Genomic DNA, 21,708 nt, shown 5'->3' with positions numbered 1-21,708 from the left:
AAGGCCAAGACAGGACGATGGCTTGAGCCCAGGAGTTCGAGGCTGTAGTGAGTAGTGATTGTATCACTGCACTCCGGCCTGGGCGACAGAGCGAGAGCCCATCTCTAAAGAACAGCAAGATGCTCATGAGCTATAAATTCACAAAATAAATACAACAGGCCAGAAAGGACATGAAAAAAAGTCCTGCATCAGTAAAATTCAAAGAAATATAAGCTCAACTATTAAGATAACTTCATCTGTGAAATTGAAAAAGATTCTAAAAAATAATAAGATCTAATTTTGGAAAAAGTGTGGGGAGATTGTCACTACCATATACTTCTGGGGGGAATAAAAATGGTCGCCACTTTCCCTGCGGACAGTTTGGCACGAGGCATGAACAGCCTTAAAAATGCACAGACCGCTTGACTCAGCAATTTCACTGCTGGGAGTTTATTAGAAAGAAATAGAGGTGTGCACAAAACCTGAGCTTCAAAACTGGGAGCCATTTGCATGATATGTATTAGCTGGATCAAAGCTCGTGGTCACCTAGCCTGGAAAATGTTTACTCCTCAAAGCAACCTTTGGTTTTAAAGAAAGAGAAATACAAAGTCTGCAGCCAAACATTTTGTGAGACATAGACCCCACCTGAGGTCCTGAACCTGTGAGGGTCCCTGGAAAAGTCAATGGGACATCCAGAACTTTATTTTTCCATATTATAAAGCCCAGAGGTAATCACATAATTACAAACCATCTGGGTAAGCTGAGGACCCCAAATGCTACATTTCTTTGCTTCTGCCTGGAATGATATCAGATTAGTGCTGTCACCCTGGTTACCTCATGCTAATCGGGAGCTCTAATTAGCAGCCACATCTGATTAATAAAAAGAGGGGAAACAGCTTAATTATTAAGCGACAGTTTGGTAGACAAAATCCTTCAAAACATGGGGCTCTGGGTGGGGGATGGACCCCGATTAAAGAGGTTCTTCTAAGGGAACATTTCAGGAACCATTGCTGTAATAAAACCACTATTTTTTTTAAGTGCTCAGTTTGGGCTAGGCACCGTGCTATGTGCTTTCCTTGTTTTAACTCATTTCACTGTAACAACAATTTTGTGAGGAAACTGGGGCACAAAGAGATTTAAGCAACGTGTTCAGAGTTGCTGAGAGAGTGAGCGGCAGAGCCGGAACTCACACGGAGAGCTGTCTGACCCCAAAGCCAGTGCCTGCGATGGCTGTTCCATTGCCATTCCTTGCCCATCCATCCATCCTGCCATCCGTCCGTCCATCTATTCATTCATTCTTTCCTTCACTCACTCATTCATGTATTTGTTGAGCTTCTACTGTGTGTCGGGCACGGGCACTGTTCTGGGCATCTAGGACAGAGCAGTGAATTAGCAAAAGTCCCCATATTCCCAGAGCTTCCTTTATTTTTATTTTATTTATTTATTTTTTTGAGACAGAGTCTCTCTCTGTCGCCCAGGCTGGAGTGCAGTGGCACGATCTCGGCTCACTGCAACCTCCACCTTCTGGGTTTACTCGATTCTCCTACCTCAGCCCCCGAGTAGCTGGGATTACAGTCACCCACCACCACGCCCAGCTAATTTTTGTATATTTTGTAGAGATGGGGTTTCGCCATGTTGGCCAGGCTGGTCTCGAACTCCTGACCTCAAGTGATCTACCCACCTCGGCCTCCCAAAGTGTTGGGATTACAGGCGTGAGCCACTGTGCCCGCCCCCAGAGCTTCCTTTATAGTGGGGAGAGATAGAGATTAAATTAGTAAGCTTGTGAATGCTGAGAATAAGAAAAATAAAACAGAGTGAGGGAGCAGAGAGAGATGAAGGAGCATGTTATTTTAGCCAAGGTGGTCAGGAAAAGCCTCTGTAAGGAGGTGACAATGGAGCAGAGACCTGAATGAAAGGAAGGAACCAGTGGTGAGGACAGCCGGGGAAGAGCAGACCAGGTAGAGAAACCGCAGACTCTTACTTTCCAACTGCCCTGCAGTGGTCTAAGGTCCGTTCCTGTAATAAAGCCCTGATTCCATCATATCCAGTGGCTCCACTTGCCAGGCTGAACCTTGACTGACAGAGAGTTAGTGAAGATAAAAGTGGCGACGTGTTAACAACTGGCAAATCTGGGTGAAGTGCAGATGTGTCCACGGAACTATTCTTACAACTTCTCTGTAGAATTCGCATTTTTCTAAATACGATTTAAAAAGATAAAAATGTTGAGGAAAGAATCAGTGAGTGAATGAACGAGTGCTGTTGTTCACTAAATGTGCTCCTGGTCTCCTGTGGTTTTAGATCTTTATTTAGTTGACCCCATGCACAGTGAAAGCACCTCCCTCGTGCAGCACACAATCATTTTCTATGACTTTAAGACTCTGGGGAAGTCCAGCTCCGTTTTGTTGGGTTTTGAGCCCCAATCTCTGTCTGCTGGGGAAAAATAGTTCTGTGTGTATGTGTTGTTGTTGTGATGAAAGAGGATATTGTGCCCCCACCCCAAAGAATTGAAGGTCTGATGTTGTATATCATAGAACCTTTATTATTTATCCTCTAAATTCTTAGAAACTTACATAACGCCCGTGCTCTAGTTATGACACCATTTATAGACATTTAAAATGCATCTTCATTTATAAATATTTTACATTTGGTCCATAGAACAGATAATTTTACTAAATAATACTGTATTTTTTAAAACAGGCTCTGTATATACTTTGAATATGTATATATTACATATATTTTTTATATAGAGATAGATTTACTTGGTGTTCTGAGAATAAATCCTTATTGCAAAAAAGCATATATGATAATACAATATCTTTTTCCCCCCGGGCAAATACTAAAAAAAAGTTACACATATTCACAGTTCTCACAGTAATTGTACAACACTTAATATTGTGCTCTATAAGGTAGGTTTGGATGGAAATCAGTTAGGGGATTTCTTGCCAAACATCTCACTTAGAATTGCTTACAAACATTAAATACACTGCATTTGTCTTAGAGAGACTTGGTCTCAGTTTCACATTGAAGAACAAAGAGAAAGCTGGAAGTCTTCCTGCCCTTAGTCTAAAGGAATTCACACACAGATGGGGAAGTGGGACCATGAGACACAGTGATGGGTTCCTGTCATTCTAAACCTTATCATTTAACAATACGTATGCATTTTGATCATGGATTCACCAGCTGGCACTGGGGATGCCTTGGCAATGAGACTATTTTACAGATGACCTCAGGAAAAGGCTTCAGATTTCCTACACAATATCAAATGAGACCTTACGTGCCACATGTGAGGATGAATGTGCATGTTGTGCGTTCATATGTGTACACATATTTTTTTTTCTCTACAATAATGTGCTTAATATTCTGAGGGTAATATCTTATTGCAAGAACTGGTATGCTGGTCACTTTTGGATGAGAATGACAAGAGATTAAAAACCCCACAGTCACAGTTATTTACCATAGTTATTAAGGATTAGTCATAAAACACGGCTTGTGAGCTAACTAGCTAAGGAGCTACAGGGCACAATGTACGATTTGCTACGTGGGAACCCATCTTCCTGGCAAATGAGACACGCGGAGCTACTGGAGCTTGCAAGAAACTGTCTTTGCTTGAAGTGCCGCCGCCACCACGGAGCCCAATTCCAGAAAGGAACAAATCATACTTCCCAATGAAGCAGTCTGAATCTCGGAAGCACATTGCGGGGGGTTCTCTGGATTAACACTAGCTCCTCAGTTAGTGGGCTGGGTGGATTTTAGTGGCAGTGAGGAGACTCCCGCTGAGAAATTTCAAGGAAGGTGAGGCGGCAGCAGCTTGGGGTGGGTGGCAGCGAGGGTGGTAGTTTAAGGAGACCGAAAGATTACTGTGGATCCGTCTTGACTGTCGGACAGATCCTTCACCTTGATTTCCCCTACAACTATTTTGTACTCTGTGAAATTGGGCAGCTTAAGAGAAACTGGAGCTCCGGTATAGGAAGTTTCCCCAGTAGGACCTGAGGCCCCTGGAATGGCGATAAAAAGAGATCAATTGTGCTTGTGGCAGTTTTCCAGCAAGCAGGGCTTGTCTGGACAGATTGCACTGGGCCAGGTCCAATCAGAATGGCCCGGCGAGGAGGGGACAGGGACATCGGGCTGCAGAATGCTCATTCATTCCGGCGGCGGGGACAAGGACGCTCCACAGACTGCAGGAGAAGCGGCCCTGGGAATATCGACTGACGCCCCTGGGTTTTTTTGTTTTGTTTTGTTTTTTCAATCCAGCTGCCTTGGGAAGGAGAAAACCAAAAACACGAAAGCCAGAGCTCCGCCGGCTTCTGGTACTTAAGAGCAAGCGTTCCCGGGAAGTCCCCATTGTACAAAATGCCCTTTTCCTGTGCATGGAGCAGCGTTCGGAGGGAAAGGAACTCCTGCAAAGTCCGAGATAACAGTCAAGGGTTTCGGCAGTAAGAGAACAGTCAGGAACAGGTTTAAAAGCCAGGAGCGCATGTGGTCTTCCTGCATCACACTCCCTGGCGGGATAAAAATGATCTACCGCGGCGGTTACCAAGGCCGATCGTGGGATGCTGATGGGGCCTGGATTAAAAAGGTCACCAGCCCGCCAGGTGCCAGAAGCCACCGGGTATCCTTGCCCACGGCAGGGCCCACCCAGGGGTCTAACTGTCCTCCCACCTCCCCTCTCTGCGTGGTGATGGTGTCTGGACTCGCCACTCGAGGTAGGTTGAGATGGAAGGTATCCTCAGACATCAAGTGGTGGTCGCACTCAGCCAGGTCGGGGGGTGAGAGTGTCGGGTCGGTGAGTGGCCCCCACCCTAGATGTAGGCCTCCTTGCTGGTGGAGCTGCCCGCCTGGGGCTGCTCAGGACCATTCTCTGGGCGAACGATGTCTTCGCTGGGCTGGACCATGACTTGGATGCGCTGTGGGTACCGGGGAGGAAGGTGTGAGGCTCTCTGGGGAAAATCCCAGCCTGGGATGGTGAGGAACTGGCCGCTTCCCTCTCCTGCTCTCTATTCAAGTGCATCCTGTCTGCTCTGCCTCCAAACTACACCCAGACTCCAGCCACATCCCCACCTCCTGCACCCCTGCCACTGCCCCACATGGGCCACGCCACAGCCCCTCTCACTTGGGTTATTGCAACAACTCCCAATCAGCCCTCAGCTTCCACTCCCACTTTCATGCTGTCCTCTCACCCCTTCATTCTGTCGTCAACACAGCAGCAGGAGAGTTGTATGAAAACCAGACTCAGATCATGCCCCTGTACTCTTCAGGACCCAATGAAGGCTCCCATTTCACCAAGAGGCAGAGCCAAAGTTCTTCAAGGCCCTACACGACCTGGCCCCTGCCACCTCCCAGTCCTCAGTGTCCTCCCCTCTTCCTCGCACATCCACCTCATCTGCATAGGACTCCTCGACGCCCCGCAAACACAGCAGGCACGCTTCCGCTCCAGGGCGTTTGCACAGGCTGTGCCCTCTGTCTGGCAGAGCCTTCCTCTCAGATAGCGACAGCTCGCTTTCCACTTCCCCAGGTCTTGGCTCAAATGTTTCGCCTTCTCAGTGAGGCCTCATCCGGCACTCCCTAAACACCCTGTCTACTTGATTTTTCTCTATAGTGCTCCTCGCCACCTCACGTGCTTTTATTTTGTTAGTTGCTTATCTTCCTCTCCCTGAATGGGAGCTCCAGGAGGGTGCAATTTCTGCTTATCTTGTTCATGGCTGTGTCCCCAGCACTGACAGTAGTGTCTGGCACATCATCAGGGTTCCGTCCATGTGTGCTGAATGGATGGACCCCCTACTGCCTTCGCCATCCTGCCCCGTCAGCTCACACCCTGGCCTCAGGTATGTCTTGGCCCTTCCTACCGCTGGGCCTTTGCACAAGCTGTGCTGTTTTCTGCAAGGGCACCCCCCTAACCTCTTGCCACGCTAAGACCCAGCTGCTGTTTGAGGCTCTCCAGTGGATCATGGAAAATGAAAGCTTTGGACTTGCATTGGGAAGAAAGGGCTGCAAGCCCTAGCTCTGCTCACAGCTTCCTGAGCTGGGAACCTGCTTACTCAACCCCTGTGGTTCCCCAGTTTCTTCATCTGAGGTTGGAGGAAGATGGGCCAGTAACTCCACGGCAGCACATAACCTGCAGCCAGGCTTCCCTGTATCTCAGACCTGAGAGCGCTTCCCCTGGGTCTGGCAGGTGCATTTCCCAGGGCACTATAGTGGACAGCAACTCATCCAGGGCCTTCCGGGGCAGCCCTCACACTCCGACTCTCCACTTCTCCCCGTGGCATCTTTTCAGCCTGCACACACCTCATCAATGAGGCACCTGCCTGGCACCTCCAGCACTTCTTTGCTTCCCTCAAGAATTTAGTGCAATTTAACAAAGTGTGGGCATGGACAGAGAACCCTATGTGATGGTGAGGCCCCTGCTGCAGGCAGCAGGTCTTTTGTGCTTTGTCTTTCTTTGTGGGTAAGACCACATTTTCTCTATATCAACCCTACAAATGAGATCTAGAGTGAGCCCTGGGCAAATGTGATCCCACCCTCCGTCTGTTCCAAGCCCTTCATGACACCCCATTGCTGCCAGGATAAAGTTCAAAGTTCTTGTCCTGGTTTTCAAAGCCCTTCATGATCTGGCTGGACCTTCTTACATCCCAACCTCATCTCTTGTCATGTCCCCTCCTCGCACCCCTTTCCACTTTACCTTCCAGCCACACTGATCTCCGTTCAGTTGACCCAATGCAGTTTATACCCCTGGACCTTTGCACATGCTTTCCAACCTCTCCTCCCCTCCCTCTTCTAGAAACATACTTTCTGCTTCTACTTTTAAGTTTGGTTTATCCCCAGGCCTCTCCTTTGTTATCCCCTCTTCTGGGAAGCTTCTTTAATCCTCCTTAACCCAAGTAGGGCTAAGGCAGGCTGTTTGCTCCCACCCCCTTGGCTTTCCCTAATCTCAGTGTCTCTAATACTCTACTGTCATTGGCTATTGACTTGTCTGTTTCCCCAGCTAGACTGTGAGCTTCACAAGGGGTGGGGCTGTGCCTGACACAGTGGGAGAAGGGCACTGGCAATTTGAAGGGTGGGGAAGGGCTTACCTGCTTCAGGGAGCCCTTTAAGGTGAGGAACATGTAGGCCATGTACCCGGGGATGAGGACCATGGAAGACAGAGCCATCAGCCAGCCCACACCCTGGCCCCACTTGGGGAAAACATAGTTTCCCATGGTGAGTGGCGTCATCTGCACAGCACTGAAAATGAACACGCCCTGGAGAGGGTGGAGGGGAGGGGAGGGAGGGGGAGGAGTCAGTCACCCAGGATGAACCACCCTGAAGCCAGCAGGCTGACTGCCCTCCACCCTCACCCCGAGGCTGACCCTTACAGAGGCCCAAGGTCTTGGGAGTCCTGCACTCAGCACCGCTGCTAGCACATAAGGTGCCTTTGTGCATAATAGAAAAAGACACCCTCTCAGGGAAGATCAGTAGGAAAAGGCAACTCCTCTAGGGAGACTAATTAGAAAAGGGAACCCCTTCCTCCAAGTTCCCCAGCTTCAAAAGCAGAGCAAGGGTGAGATATCAGCTCCCAATGTGCCATTGGCAGGGTCCCCTTATGTGGACACAACATATGCAGTGGCTCTGCCCCCACCTCAAGAACCTTGGGTGGCCCCTCCCAGGCCCGCCCCTGCTTCAGCTCCTGCTTGTGGGGATGAGGGACCCTGAGAAGGAGAGTCTCCAAGTGCCAAGAGACTGGGCTTGGTTCGAATCCCAGTGCTGACTAGCTGGGTGATGCTGGCTAGGTGAGCCCCAGATCCTGCAGCGGTAAAGTGGGACAATAATGCCTCCTTTCTGAGGTTTGTGGAGGATGATATAATGTGTCTTGTACCATGCAGGGTGCAGAATAGATGCCCAACAAATGGTAGAGAGAAGTATTATTAAGGAACAGGGTTTCTGGGGGCCTCTCCCACCTGCCTCTGCCTCTAGAAGTTTCTCCCTGGACCTGAGTCCCCCCAGGGCTTGGTCTAGCCTCATCCTAACAGGGCTAGTCAGGCCTTGTTCTTACCGCCACAATGATTGGTGTGAAGAAAGACCAGCAGAGTTTCCACCAGATGCAGGGCCTGGATCCAACCATCTCTTGGATATTGTCATAGAATCGGTTGACACCTGTGACATTGGGAGCAGGAGGGATGGATGAGCTGTGGGTGCTTCAGGGTCAAAGCCTGGTTCTACCACTTTCTCACAGTGTGACCATGGGCAAGTCACCTAACCTCTCTGAGTCTCAGTTTCCTTGTCTGTACCATGGGGGTTATGCTCTGGGGGTCCTCGTTACCAAGTATTTTTCAATAGCCCAATTCTCACAGCAAGTGGGTTGTGTAGGTGAGCAAGTCACTTTAATGTGAAGATATCTACCAACAAAAGGAGACTGACATGATGATCCCCTCCACCCCTGCCACTCTCAATGTCCCTCCCACTCGACATCTATCCCAGCCATTCCTTCAAAGGCTTTCCTGGGCAGGGGCTGTTTCTCCCTGATGGTCAGATGCTATAAGAAACTGGCAATCTGCCGGACACGGTGGCCCATGCCTGTAATCCCAGCACTTTGGGAGGCCGAGGTGGGAGGATCACCTGAGGTCAGGAGTTCGAGACCAGCCTGGCCAACACGGTGAAACTCCGTCTCTACTAAAAATATAAACATTAGCCAGGTGTGGTGGCGGGCGCCTGTAATCCCAGCTACTTGGGAGGCTGAGGCAGGAGAACTGCTTGAACCTGGGAGGTGGAGGTTGCAGTGAGCCGAGATCGTGCCATTGTACTCCAGCCTGGGGAACAAGAGCGAGACTTCGTCTCAAAAATAAATAAATAAATAAATAAATAAATAAATAAATGAATGAATGAAAGAAAAAGAAATTGACAATCAATTGCAAAGAACTGCAAATCTCATGAAAAAGAAAAACCCCAAACCCCAAACTGGTGTCTTGAAGTTCACCAGAGCGGCTTCGGGCACTGCTCAAATTATAAGCAGAGTCACTGACCAGTGAGGATCTGACCGTGTTGGAACAGTTAGAGAGAGAAGGTGTTATTGGGAGTGTAAATTAGTGCAACCTCTATGGAAACCAGTACAGAGATTTCTCAAAGAATCAGAAATAGAACCACCATTTGATCCAGCAATCCCACTACTGGCTATCTATCCAAAGGAAAAGAAATTATTATATCAAAAAGATATTTGCACTCGTGTTTATTCACAATAGCAAAGATAGGGAATCAACCTAAGTGTCCATCCGTGGATGGCTGGATAAAGGAAATATGGTATACATACACGATGGAATACTATTCAGCCATAAAATAGAATGAAGTCATGCCTATTGCAGCAACGTGGATGGAACTGGAGGCCATCATCTTAAGCAAAACAACTCAGAAACAGGAAGTCAAATACTGCATGTTCTCACTTAAAGGTAGGAGCTAAACACTGGGCACAGGTGGAATAATAGACACTGGAGACTCAGAAGGGTGGGGGAATGGGAGCTGGGGTGGATGATGAGAAATTACTTAGTGGGTAGAATGTACTGCTGGGCTTGGTGGCTTATGCCTGTAATCCCAGCACTTTGGGAGGCCGAGGTGGGCGGATCATGAGGTCAGGAGGTCGAGACCATCTTGGCCAACATGGTGAAACCCTGCCTCTACTAAAATACAAAAAATTAGCTGGGCGTGGTGGCACATGCCTGTAATCCCAGCTACTTGGGAGGCTGAGGTAGGGGAATTGCTTGAACCAGGCAGGCAGAGGTTGCAGTGAGCTGAGTTTGCACCGCTGCACTCCAGCCTGGTGACAGAGCAAGACTCCATCAAAAAAATGAATAAAATAAAATAAATAAAAATAAAAATAAAAAAAGAATGTACATTATGTGGTGATGGGTACACTAAAAGCCCAGACTTCACCACTACACAAGATATCCAGGTAACAAAATTGCACTCATGTCCCTTAAATTTATACATATAAAACAAACAAAAAAGAAGGGACAATGACAAGGAGGATGAGGTGGCAGATATTGCAAAGGGGGACACAAAATATCATGCTTCTTTAAAAACATTTGCTCTGATGGGACAATCAAAGGTGCAGGAAAGGATGTTGTCATTTTTTACTATCATGCAGTTGGCTCAAGAAACTTAGGCCACAAAATAAACAAAATCAATGTTTCTTTTGTTATTTGTTTTAAGATAGTGCACACTTTTAATTACAGCCTAGACTGTGTTAAATATATAACTTTAAAACTTTAAAAAGTAGTTTTGGTTTCCCTTTTCTGGATAAAATCTCCACTTATTTTAAATGAATTCATTTAACTGCTCTTATATCTTCTAAACATGGGGGACTCCTGGACTAACCTCATTGAATTGTAATGTGAAGAATAAATAAATAAATAAATGTAAGGAGAAGACCTGGGGTTCAAATTGCACTTGTTGAATGATGACTCAAGAAAGGAATGAATGGATGAATGAGTGAATGAATAAGGGATGAGGGGCTGATACTCACCGTAAAACCAGGAAATAGAGACACATTCAAAGAACACGAGGAACAGCAGGCTCATGCCACTGGCAGAGTAGTAGTCAAAGAGTTTGAAGACATAAATACCCCCCTGCAAGATGAAAAGAGGTGAGAACAGGTGCATTGTCCCCGGCGCCCACTGCATCCAGTTCACAGACCACATGGACTCTGGAGGCTGATGGGGCTGGGATTAGGCTTCAGGGTAGATTAGATGAAGCACTGAGGGCTTTGTGACCACGAGAGGATGTGGACATTGACAGTCCGGGCATTGGGAAGGAAATGTCCAGGTGGTAGAGGAAAATGCCAATTTCTGGTAAGGTTGGAGGGCAGAAAGCGGAGTTGGTCACCAGGGCCATCTTTTTACAGTGTAAATCAGTCAGGTCTCTCCCCTGCTTAAAACCTTTCAGGACTTAAATGAGACAATAATATAACACATAAATAAGCAGAGAGAGATCTAATCCAATCCCATGCCATCCAATCCCATCCCATCCCATCCCATCCCATCCCATCCCACCCAAATGTCTTGGCCTGCAAGGTCCGCATGGGCTGGTTCTTCGTCTCCCACCCACTGCCTCACTCCCTCTGCCTCCACCACTCTGGCTTCCCTCGTCCCTCAAATGCCTCAGGGCTTTTGCACCTACTCTGCTCTCTTTCCCCAGATCTTTCTCTGGCTGGCTCTTTCTCATCATTTAAGTCTCAGCTCAACTGTCGCTTTCTTGGAGAGAGAGACCTCCCTTGACTACCTTGTCTGAGGGAGCGCCCCTCCTGTGCTACTGGCCATTCTCTGTGCTGCTGTCCTCTTTTCTCCAGGGCACTTGACACTCTCCAAAATCATCTAATTTGTCTGTCAGTCTTGTCCACCAAAATGTAAGCTCCAAGACAGCAGACATGGTAGTATCTGCCACATTAATTGCCAAATTTCTGGGGTCATGCCAGGCCCATAGTAGGTATTTGACAACTATGAATGAAGGGATGAATGAATACTAACTCTGGAGCAGAACTACATTTGGATCTGGTGGGGGGGGGGTGGGGGTGATTTGTGGATTATAAAAATCAGACCCGCAGTGCTGAACTCATGTTGCTAGAGTCGTTTATATTTATTGCACAATTCACCAGCTATGTGAGCATTTCTCATTCATGTCAATACAAAAGAAAAATGGGAATGAAAGAAAGCTTTGGGCAGTGTCAACTTCAAAGGCTCAACTCCAATTTGACTTTCTGGCTAATTTCTGTGGGCCTTTCTTTTCTTTTTCTGTCTTTCTTTCTTTCTTTCTTTTTTTTTTTTTTTTTTGAGACAGAGTTTTTCGCTCTTGTTGCCCAGGCTGGAGTGCAATGGCGCGATCTCAGCTCACTGCAACCTCTGCCTCCCGGGTTCAAGCAATTCTCCTACCTCAGCCTCCCAAGTAGCTGGGATTACAGGCACCTGCCCCAATGCCTGACTAATTTTTGTATTATTTATTTACTTTATTTTATTTTTTTAAGTAGAGACGGGTTTTCACCACATTGGCCAAGCTGGTCTCAAACTCCTGACTTCAGGTGATCCGCCGGCCTCTGCCTCCCAAAGTGCTGGGATTATAGACATGAGCCACCATGCCAGGCCTTCTGTGGGCCTTTCAAAGCTCAATTTCTACATCCCCTCCTCCAAGAAGCAGTCCCTGGTGCTCCGAGTCCAGTTAGGTGCTGCATTCTCTAGCTCTGTCCTATATGTCTTAGCTCAATGTTTGTGTCTCCACCAGCCTGGGAGCCTCTGGAGGGCAGGGACCCCATCTGACTCACTGTTATGTGCCCAGAGCTTGGCACAGAGATGATGCTCAATGAAGGCAGGAAAGGTGGGATACAACAGAGGAGGGGAGAGGAGGCCCTGGGCATGGCCCTGGGCAGTGCTGGGGGAGTGCCAGGTGCTTACTGAGCTTACCTGAGTGATGTTAGAGAGACCGATCAGGTAGGAGATGATGCAGACAGCAGCAATGAAGAGCTCTCTGCGGTTGCGGAGGAGCCTGGGGTACTCATCCACCAGGGCTGTGATGAAGCCCTCCACAGTGCAGAACTTCAGGTGGGAACAGAGGTCAGCCACCTGCAGCAGCCCCAGCCCCAACCCACCCAAAGCCTGGCCCTCTAAGGAAGGACGGGAGGCCCAGCAGCACCGAGCCAGGAGAGCCCAGGGTCCAGCCTGATTCTGCCTGTGACTCACTTTGTGACCTCAGGAGAGTCCCTCCCCTCTGGGCATCAGTTTCCCCTTCTGGAAAATGGAGAAGGTGGCTGAGCTGTTTCCTGAAATTTCATGCAGTGGAACATTCTAGGGACCTGGAATTTTTGGTCATCTTCTTGGCAGCCTAAGAGTTGCCTCCTCTCCCTGTTTACTCGGGGACTGAGGAGTCTGGGGATGGAGAGCTCCTGGGGTGCGGGGGGGGCGCCCTCACCTGGCTGTCAATGCCCAGCATCAACAGCATGGAGAAGAAGAGGATGGCCCAGAGTGGGGAGATAGGCAGCTGGGTCACCGCCTCTGGGTATGCCAGGAACGCCAGCCCGGGGCCTGAACAGAGAAGTGCAAAAAAGAAGAAAAATAAAAGGTACTCATCACCTACAGCCTTTCCAGCACACTGCCCATTTTCTAAGCCTTATTTCATTTCATCTTCAGAGTAACCTTTTGAGTGAGTGTTTTCAGCCCCTTTTTCCAGGTGCAGAAAGAGGGTGGGGGATGTGGGGCCATAGTAATTGTGCCCAGAGGCAAGAGGACCAGTGAGGAGCTGTGGCCATCATCTCGATGGGGGATGGCATGGCTTGGCCAGTAGTGAGGATAGTGCAGGTGCAGAGAGGCAACCAGATAGAGAGATATGTAGGGGATGGAGGGGCAGGTGCTGGTATTGGCTGGTTTGCAGGATGAGGGTGAGGGAAGAGTCCAGGACAATGCTGAGGTCTCCACCCTGGGCACTGGACCATGGGACCCTTCTGTGATGGGGAGCATGGTGGAGGAGAAGGCTTTGGAGCCTTGTTTGGCATGTATTGTGTTTGAGTAGTTGGTGGGGGTGTCTAAGAGATCAGGAAATCTCGGAATGAGAAGGAAAGAGATTGTAACCTCCCTGGGTCTGGCTCCGGATGGGGGTGGGGGAATGGTTGGGGAATTGCAGAGAAACGAGATGGTGGCTGCCCTTGAAGGGGAGATTAGAACCGGAGCAGAGAATGCTCCTTTCACGGAACCAGCCCACTTCTTCAAGGGACCAGCCGTGTGGCCTCCATGAGCCTCAGGGGCCTCTGCCCTGCATACAGTGGGTTCCACCTGTTGGCTGCTTGCCTGGCTGTGCAGCGAAGGGCTGTCTGGGGTTTTCCTTGGGTTCTGTGGCATTGATGACTGTGTGGTGAGCAGAGTGGGCATGGCCCACTTGGCGAGAACATTTTTGGAGCTGAGACAAAAGCATGGATTTAGTGGTCTTTGTAGTATGGTGATGAACATGTCTGAATTGAGCCAAAGTGTTGCGGGAGGTCAGGGACCCCAAACAGAGGGACCGGCTGAAGCCATGGCAGAAGAACATAGATTGTGAAGATTTCATTGACACTAGTTCCCCAAATTAATACTTTTATAATTTCTTACACCTGCCTTTACTGCAATCTCTGAACATAAATTGTGAAGATTTCATGGACACTTATCACTTCCCCAATCAATACTCTTGTGATTTCCTATGCCCGTCTTTACTTTAATATCTTAATCCCATCATCTTTGTAAGCTGAGGATGAATGTTGCCACAGGACCTTGTGATGATTGCATTAACTGCACAAATTGTTTAAACAATATGAAATCTGGGCACCTTGGAAAAAAAACAGGATAACAGTGATGTCCAGGGAACAAGGGAGATAACCTTAACGTCTGGCTGCCTGTGGGCCAGGTGGAACAGAGCCATATTTCTCTTCTTTCAAAAGCAAATAGGAGAAATATCGCTGAATTCTTTTTCTCAGCAAGGAACTTCCCTGAGAAAGAGAATGCGTCCCTAAGGGGAGGCCTCTGAAATGGCCGCTTTGGGGACGTCTGTCTTTTACAGTTGTAGATAAGGGATGAAATAAGCCCCGGTCTCCCGTAGCGCTCCCAGGCTTATTAGGATGAGGAAATTCCTGCCTAATAAATTTTAGTCAGACCGGTTGTCTGCTCTCAAACCCTGTCTCCTGATAAGATGTTTTCAATGACAATGTGTGCCCGAAACTTCATTAGCAATTTTAATTCTGCCCTGGTCCTGTGATCTCGCCCTGCCTCCATTTGCCTTGTGATATTTTATTACCTTGTGAGCATGTGATCTCTGTGACCCACACCCTATTCATACACTCCCTCCCCTTTTGAAAATCATGAATAAAAACTTGCTGGTTTTACAGCTTCGGGGGCATCATGTGATGTCTCCCCCAGACATCCAGCTTTAAAATTTCTCTCTTTTGTACTCTTTCCCTTTATTTCTCAGACCAGCTGACACTTAGGTAAAATAGAAAAGAACCTACGTGAAATATCGGGGGTGAATTTCCCCCAATACCAAAGTTTATACTCCCAAGGCAAGAGTGGATCTTCTCCCCAAATTGTCCAGGATTGTGCTGGACATGCTAGTATAGCCAAGAGACTAAGAGCCCAGGCTTGGGAGTCAGCCAGACCTGGGCTCCAACTCCAGATCTGCCATCTTTCTAGCTCCATACCCTTAGGAGGTGAGTCTCAGTTTTCTCATCTATGAAATGGGCTAACAATAGCGTGTATTGCAAAGTGTTGAGAAGAATCATGGGTACAGTCCATGTAAAATGCTCAGTGCATTGCCTGGCACATAGGGAGTGCTCAAGGCCAGTGAGCCACAGTGGTGGTGGTAATGGTGATGATGGCAAAGGCCAGCATGGTTAGTGCCCCCATGCCAGGAGCCCGGCCCCACACAGTGTTGCACTGACCTGAGGCCGCCACATCAGCAATGGACCTCTTGGTGACATGGGCCATGAAGCCCACGATGGAGAAGATGACGAATCCTGCGAACATGCTGGTGCACGAATTGATGCAGCAGACGATGATGGAGTCCCTGAAGAGAGGGAGGGGTGGGGTGAGGAGGGTGCAGCTGGCAGAAGGTGTAGCTGCTGGCTGTGGTTATGGAGGGGTGGCCCGGAGGAGGGGGCTGGGAATGGGGCTACACGGTAGGTCCCAGATGCACAGGCCCTAAGAGCAAGCTAGAGGAGGGCAGAGCCAGAAGATCAGGGTCAGGAAAGGGGGACAACAGGAATGTCTGTGTCTCCAGAAGGAGTTAAACAAACGACTGGCTCAGGGAGAGGTTAAGCTGAGAGTGCAAAGTGGCCAAAGAGGGCCCTAACACATGAGTGTGGGATGTGGACTCAAAGGGCTCGGCCAGGAAGGAAGGGGCTCCCGCAGCTGTCCTCTCAAACCTGTAGACATTGTTGTGGAAAGAGTTGTAGCTCCCGAGAGCGATCAGGGACCCCAGGCCCAGCCCGTATGAGAAGAAGATCTGGGTTGCCGCATCCAGCCACACCTATAGGCAGAATTATCAAAGACTGTCAAAAGTAATCACCATAGCCGCAGCTATCCAGGAACTTTTCCATGTGCCCACCAGCTCTCCCTGGCAACAAACCTGGTCTACAGTGAGGGTCAGAAAGATGCAAAAGCTTATCTCAAAGCTGCTAAGTGGTGGCTCAGAATCCGGGCTGGGAGGGGCACTCACCTCGGAGTCAGACAGCTTGCGGAAGTTGGGTGTGATGTAGAAGAGGATGCCCTCCTTGGCCCCGGGCAGCGTCACTCCACGGAAGAACAGGATGATCAGCATGATGTAGGGGTATGTGGCTGAAAAGTAGACCACCTGGGAGGAAAGTGGGTGACTGGTGACCCCTCCTCCTGTACACCCTTGCTTCCTCCTCCCCCATTTCCCCTACATCCGTATCTGTTGTGGCTCTGGGCTTGATTCCAGTTCTTCCGCCTCCAGGAAGCCTTCCCAGATCCTTGCTCTCCTTGGCCACTTATCTGAAGCTCCTCCTTGGAGTCTGAGCCAACCAGCTCACATTTGGTTTTTCCCTTCCCCTGTCCCCTCCTATTTTTTGACTTCTAAATTATCCAAGTATTGCATGTGGTGACAGGAAAACTTTTAAATTACATATGCACACACACACATAAAATGAAAGTTCCTTTAACCAGCACCTAGAATGTAAGTTATGTGGGGGGCAGGGCTTGTGTTGTTCACATCCCCATGTCTAGAACAGTCCACCGTATATAGTAGACACTCAAGAATTGTCTGACGAACACATAAATGCAGGGATGTTCCTACTTTAATGCTCCTCTGAAACTCTCCTTTGCAGATGCAATCACATTTTCTTACAAAATGAGGTTCAAATTAGGTACTTGCCTTTCCATGTAACATGTTTAGAGTTAAAAAAAACGCAGTACATACAGGTTTGTTTCCCATTTTGTTCACTAAACGTTGTTTTATTGCCTCATGAACAATTTGACGTTTTAATTGCACAAAACAGTCCCTCAGAAGGTCCTACCATTCTCTTTTAAGCTTCCCCACTGCTATGCATTCAGGTTACCTCCAATTTTATGTGACTCTAAATAACACCAAATTAAACACCCCTGTATATAAATCTTCAGCTACAAAATTATTATACCACTCTTGGGAAAAATTTTTAGAGGTGGAACTACTGAATTAAAAGGAATAAATTCATCACAGGCTTTTGATCCATATTACCTTGTTGCTTTCGAGAAATGGAACTTCACCTGGCATTACAGAGAGTGCCTTTCTGTCACAAGGCCAGCACTAGGTATCATCATTTAAACAATTATTTTTTGCCAAACTGATGATCATTGTCTAAAATTGCATTTCTTTGCTCACTAGTATGGAAGAGCAATGTTCAAGTTTGATGACCTTTGTATCTCAGAGTCTAATGTGAGCCTGTTTCCCGGTCAGCATGGACAGTTCACTGGCTTAGCTTCACCTCCCTGACTTGACCCCGAGATTCTGCAGGATTAAGGAAGGCAGCCACAATCCAAGAGAAAACCCATTGTACTTGGAGCTAGGAAAAGGGAATTCAAACTCATCTGTGTCACCCACAAGCTGCGTAACTTAGGGTCAATGTTGTATTTTCTCTTAGCTTCACTTTCTCTTGTCTGGAATCAGGCACAGTCACACCTACTGCTCAGAAAGGTCAGTCACATCAGGACATGCCGCAGGCTTATTATATGTCACCTTGGTCTCGTACTTCCCTGTGCCTTCCGTGTTCAGCATGAAGCCAGGCACATAGTAGGTATTCAATAAATGCTTGTGGATGGATTGGTTGACATCCTCAATATATGCAGTGAGGGGGCCCTACTCTCTGTCCCCAAGAAGTGGCCAGTCTCCTAATGTAGCACGAACTCTAATTACCACTCCAAAATGATTATAATTGATACTATGTATTGAGTGCTTACTATGTGTAAGGCATATGCTAAGCATTCTACTCATCTCCCTCAGTCTTTGGGACAACCCTGTAAGGTACTGTTATTGTGACCATTGAACAGATGAGGGGACTGAGGCTCAGAGAGATGAAATGGCTTGCTCAAGTGCACACAGCTAGAAGCTCAGGGACTGAGACTCAAACCCTTCCAAAGCCCATAAGCCCTATACTTTTCTGCTCCTGAAATTTAGACTGGGAGATACTTGTGCCCTCCTCCGGCGTCCCTAGTCCTAGGAATGGATCAGAGATACTTTTACACCAGCCTTGGATTTGAGAACCCAGTGGGTCCAGAAGTTCCCACTAGATGAAACTAGGGTAGCTTTTCATCAGCTCTGCCCTGCCCAAGTGTGGAATTTGTTAAGGTTCTGCTTGGTTCATTTCTACTACTGCTTCTAGAACCTTGCATTCACTTCTTGGGTAGTTCTGACCTTCCTGCCTCCCATCTTATTCAGTACAAATCCCTTCTCTGCCCTTGACTTGCCATAAGATCTGAGACAACACACTTGTCCTCCGGGTTCCCTTCAGGTCAGGGCCAGTGAGAGACTGCCATCTTCTGCCCCCAGGCTCCTGGGGTAGGGCTTGAAAGGGAGAAAAGGTGGAGTAAGGCCAGTTTTCCACCTCCCGGGTGTCCCTGGGCTAGACATCCCAGCTTGGCATTTGCTCTGCACTTGCTGAGAATAAAAACAAGAGTAATAACAACTCTCCTTGCTGGGTGCTGAGCGCTTGACAAAAGCACCATCTCATCTGATTATCATAATAAACCAACAGATAAGTATAATTATTAGCCCCGTTTTACAGAGAAGGAAACTGAGTTCCAGGGAGGCAAAGTGACTTGCCTGAGCTCACAGCTAGTAAATGGTGAGGTTGGGATCTTAACTCATGGACTGCTTAATACAGAGCCTGAATCTAACCATTAACCTATTCATCTCTGTTGTTCCTCAAGGGTCAGGATGTGAAGCTGTCATCTCTGGAGTTTCTGCACCTAGAACAAGGTTTGGTGCAGAGCAGATGCTCTGGAAAAGTTTGTTCAACAGTCCAGGAGCAACATTTGCCCTCTGTTTTGAGATGACTCTGTTAGGCCCAGTGGAATCCCATGGGACTCACTGTGAGCTTCGCACTGTGCTGCGTACTTGACTTGCACTATTTCCTTTTATCCTCACAACTGCCCCAGAAGGTAAGGTAATGTTATTATTCCCATTTCACAGTAAAAGAAACGGACACACCGAGTGTTGAAGGGACCTGCTTAATTCAAGGTTGGATGGGACTCTTGGGAGTTGTGGGCAGAGCTTCCTTTGTAGACCTGTTCCTCTATCCAGTGCCCTCCTGTCCCCACTGTGCACATATATCCCTTACCTTTCCAGTCCAGCCAACACCCTTCCAGATACAGAAATACACAAGGATCCAGGCGATGGCCAGCGTGATGGCCAGTGGCCAGCGGATCTGACCTGGCTTATCCAGCCCGTCCGTCATCTGATGCATGTTGCGCCTGGTCAAACAGTGGAGGGAGGAGAAAGTTACACAGAGCTGGTGGGAGCCGGAGTGACCCAGGGGTGCCCAGGGCATGGCCACAGATGATATCCCCGCCCTAGAACTGTGCTGACACCGTCATCACCGTGATTCAAGAGGTAGCTGGGGACTGTGAGGCCCATTATACTAATCAGTAGAAAGTGCTGTTTGGTCAAGAGATCAAAGAGAACAGGACCTGCCAGGGCCTTAGTCAGCCACCACTACTGCTCATCTGGATGGCCCAGTGGCCTCCTAGTGGGACCCTGCCTTCAGTTTTGCTCTATCCCCTCTCCAGCCCCAGAGAGCCTTCTAAATTGCAAGTCTGATCATGTCACTCCTCTGCTTACTGCGATGAATAGCACCCGCTTGTTCTCAGAATGAAGCCCAAACTCCCTGGCCAGCCTTTCAAGGCCCTTGCATCTCTCTCTCCTCTCAGCACTCACTGCAGCTGTTTGCCGGTGCCTGGCCTGACCTCATCTGCCTCCCAGCCTTCACACTGTTTCTCTCCAGCACCTGCCTGCCCTGCAGTTTTCTCTTCTAGATGCCACTCCCGACCTGGGGTGGTCCAGGGGACTCCCTGAGGTCCCCGCAGCCCAGCTGCCTGGGCTTCCCTCCTCTCCGCATTGGCCGCCTGGTGGTGCCATTGCCTGTCTGCATGTCCGTGCCTGTCATCAGTTGGCACATAGTAGGAGATCAAGAAGTGTTTACTGAATAAATGGTTGAATGAAAAGTCCGAACGTGCCTGAGAGCAGCATGCGGGAGATGCCAGAAAGCAGAACCCACCAGAGCAGAATTTGATTTTTATTTGTAAAGAAACAGTGTAACCATGGACATTGGCCATGAAGAGATCAGGCAACTCTGATTCTGACAGTGCCTGAGAACAGCTCCTCCTGGGAGCTTATCCAAGGTGCTCTGAGACCTTCTAGACTGCTCCCGGATCCTTCTGAGCTGTCCAGCATGGATGCTTCCTTCATGCCAGAGAGATTTGGGCCCCAGCACCTCATTGTGTCACATCAGTGACCCCCGACACACATCTCTACAAGGTACTCCCCTGAAGATACAATCAGCACGGCCTTCACTATGGCCAGAGTGTGTGTGCATGTTTATTCCGAGTGACTCTAGGTTCGTAAGTAGATCAGGCTGGTTTTCAGGATGAATCAGGATGTGGTCAACCTCTCCAGGTGATTCTAATTGGCTATGCTGGTTATTCCCCTCCGTTTGCCTCTCTGATCCACTCTTCCCCTTGACCACTCTGTGCCAGGCCCCAGGATGCTGACGACTATGGCCACATTATCTGGTCCCCTGCCCTCTGGCTTCTAGCTGGGTTTGACCATTGGGAGGAGCTGGCAGGAGATTAGAGGCAGAGATGTTGGGGAATGTATTCTTCCTGCTGGACCTTGGCTTTGTGAGTAGCTGGGTTTTGCTATCAAAGGTCAGAGTTTGTGTGTCTCATGGCTCTATCTGTGGTCCAACTCTTTTTGGGGAGAAAAGGTCTTCAGCATCCCTTGTGGCTGCCTTAGCCCTGCCACAACTCTGCAAGTATAGTCATGTGTCACTTAACAACAGGGATATGTTCTGAGAAATGCGTTCTTAAGCAATTTTGTTGTTGTGTGCATATCATAGCGTGTACTTGCACAAACCTAGATGGTCTAGCCTGCTACACTCCTATGCCATACGGTGTGGCCTATTGCTCCTAGACTACAAACCTGTACAGCACATGACTGTACTGAATATTGTACGCAACTGTAACACAATGCATTTCGGTACTAGACATGTCTAGACGTAGAAAAGGTAAAGTAAAAATATGGTATTATAATCTTATGGGACCATCGTTGCATATGTGGTCCACTGATGACCAAAATGTCATGATGTGACACATGACTGTAGCCCCTTTATCCACCTCTTCTGTTACCCCTCCGAGGGGCCTCTGTCTCCTGCCGGGCTCTGGCTGACATGCCCCGTCCCTGCCATCCCCTGATGGCCCCATACTCACTCCCAGAACTCCACCACAGCGCTGGTCATGTTGGTAGTGTTGACCATGCTGTAGTTGGAGAAGCAGCGGTCTGTGTTCCAGGGGTTGTCGCACTGTTTCCACGGCAGTGTCTGCAAGGACACAGTCATGAGGACGCATCCTGCTGGGCTCCCAGGGGCTGGCATGAGTGGTCCCAGTGCACCCTGCCCACCCTCATGGTCCCCAAGCCTCCTCACACCTCCCCTTCGCAGCAGCTCTGGGAGGCAAGTAGCATTATGATCCCCATTTGACAGATCAGAGAGGGACA

At 48.6% G+C, this 21,708-nt stretch overlaps 1 protein-coding gene across 9 annotated transcripts in view; it reads right to left on the bottom strand.

Moving 5' to 3' along the window:
• Nucleotides 2,498-21,708, bottom strand: part of SLC6A1 (solute carrier family 6 member 1) — a 46,500-nt gene continuing 27,289 nt past the window's right edge. For all 9 annotated transcript variants that reach the window (NM_003042.4, NM_001348252.2, NM_001348250.2 and 6 more), the window contains 11 exons: nucleotides 21,423-21,532; nucleotides 19,277-19,409; nucleotides 16,162-16,296; nucleotides 15,869-15,972; nucleotides 15,386-15,510; nucleotides 12,898-13,010; nucleotides 12,393-12,524; nucleotides 10,466-10,568; nucleotides 8,006-8,106; nucleotides 7,047-7,214; nucleotides 2,498-4,883 (listed from right to left, as the gene is read on the bottom strand). In NM_003042.4, coding sequence (NP_003033.3) covers nucleotides 4,779-4,883; nucleotides 7,047-7,214; nucleotides 8,006-8,106; nucleotides 10,466-10,568; nucleotides 12,393-12,524; nucleotides 12,898-13,010; nucleotides 15,386-15,510; nucleotides 15,869-15,972; nucleotides 16,162-16,296; nucleotides 19,277-19,409; nucleotides 21,423-21,532 — 1,329 coding nt within the window. In that variant the 3' untranslated portion in view covers nucleotides 2,498-4,778. The remainder of the gene's footprint in view (nucleotides 4,884-7,046; nucleotides 7,215-8,005; nucleotides 8,107-10,465; nucleotides 10,569-12,392; nucleotides 12,525-12,897; nucleotides 13,011-15,385; nucleotides 15,511-15,868; nucleotides 15,973-16,161; nucleotides 16,297-19,276; nucleotides 19,410-21,422; nucleotides 21,533-21,708) is intronic.

Source organism: Homo sapiens, chromosome 3 (genome assembly GCF_000001405.40).
Source record: "Homo sapiens chromosome 3, GRCh38.p14 Primary Assembly".
NCBI classification, from domain to species: Eukaryota; Metazoa; Chordata; class Mammalia; order Primates; family Hominidae; genus Homo; species Homo sapiens.
This window is presented reverse-complemented; position numbering and strand designations above follow the sequence as displayed.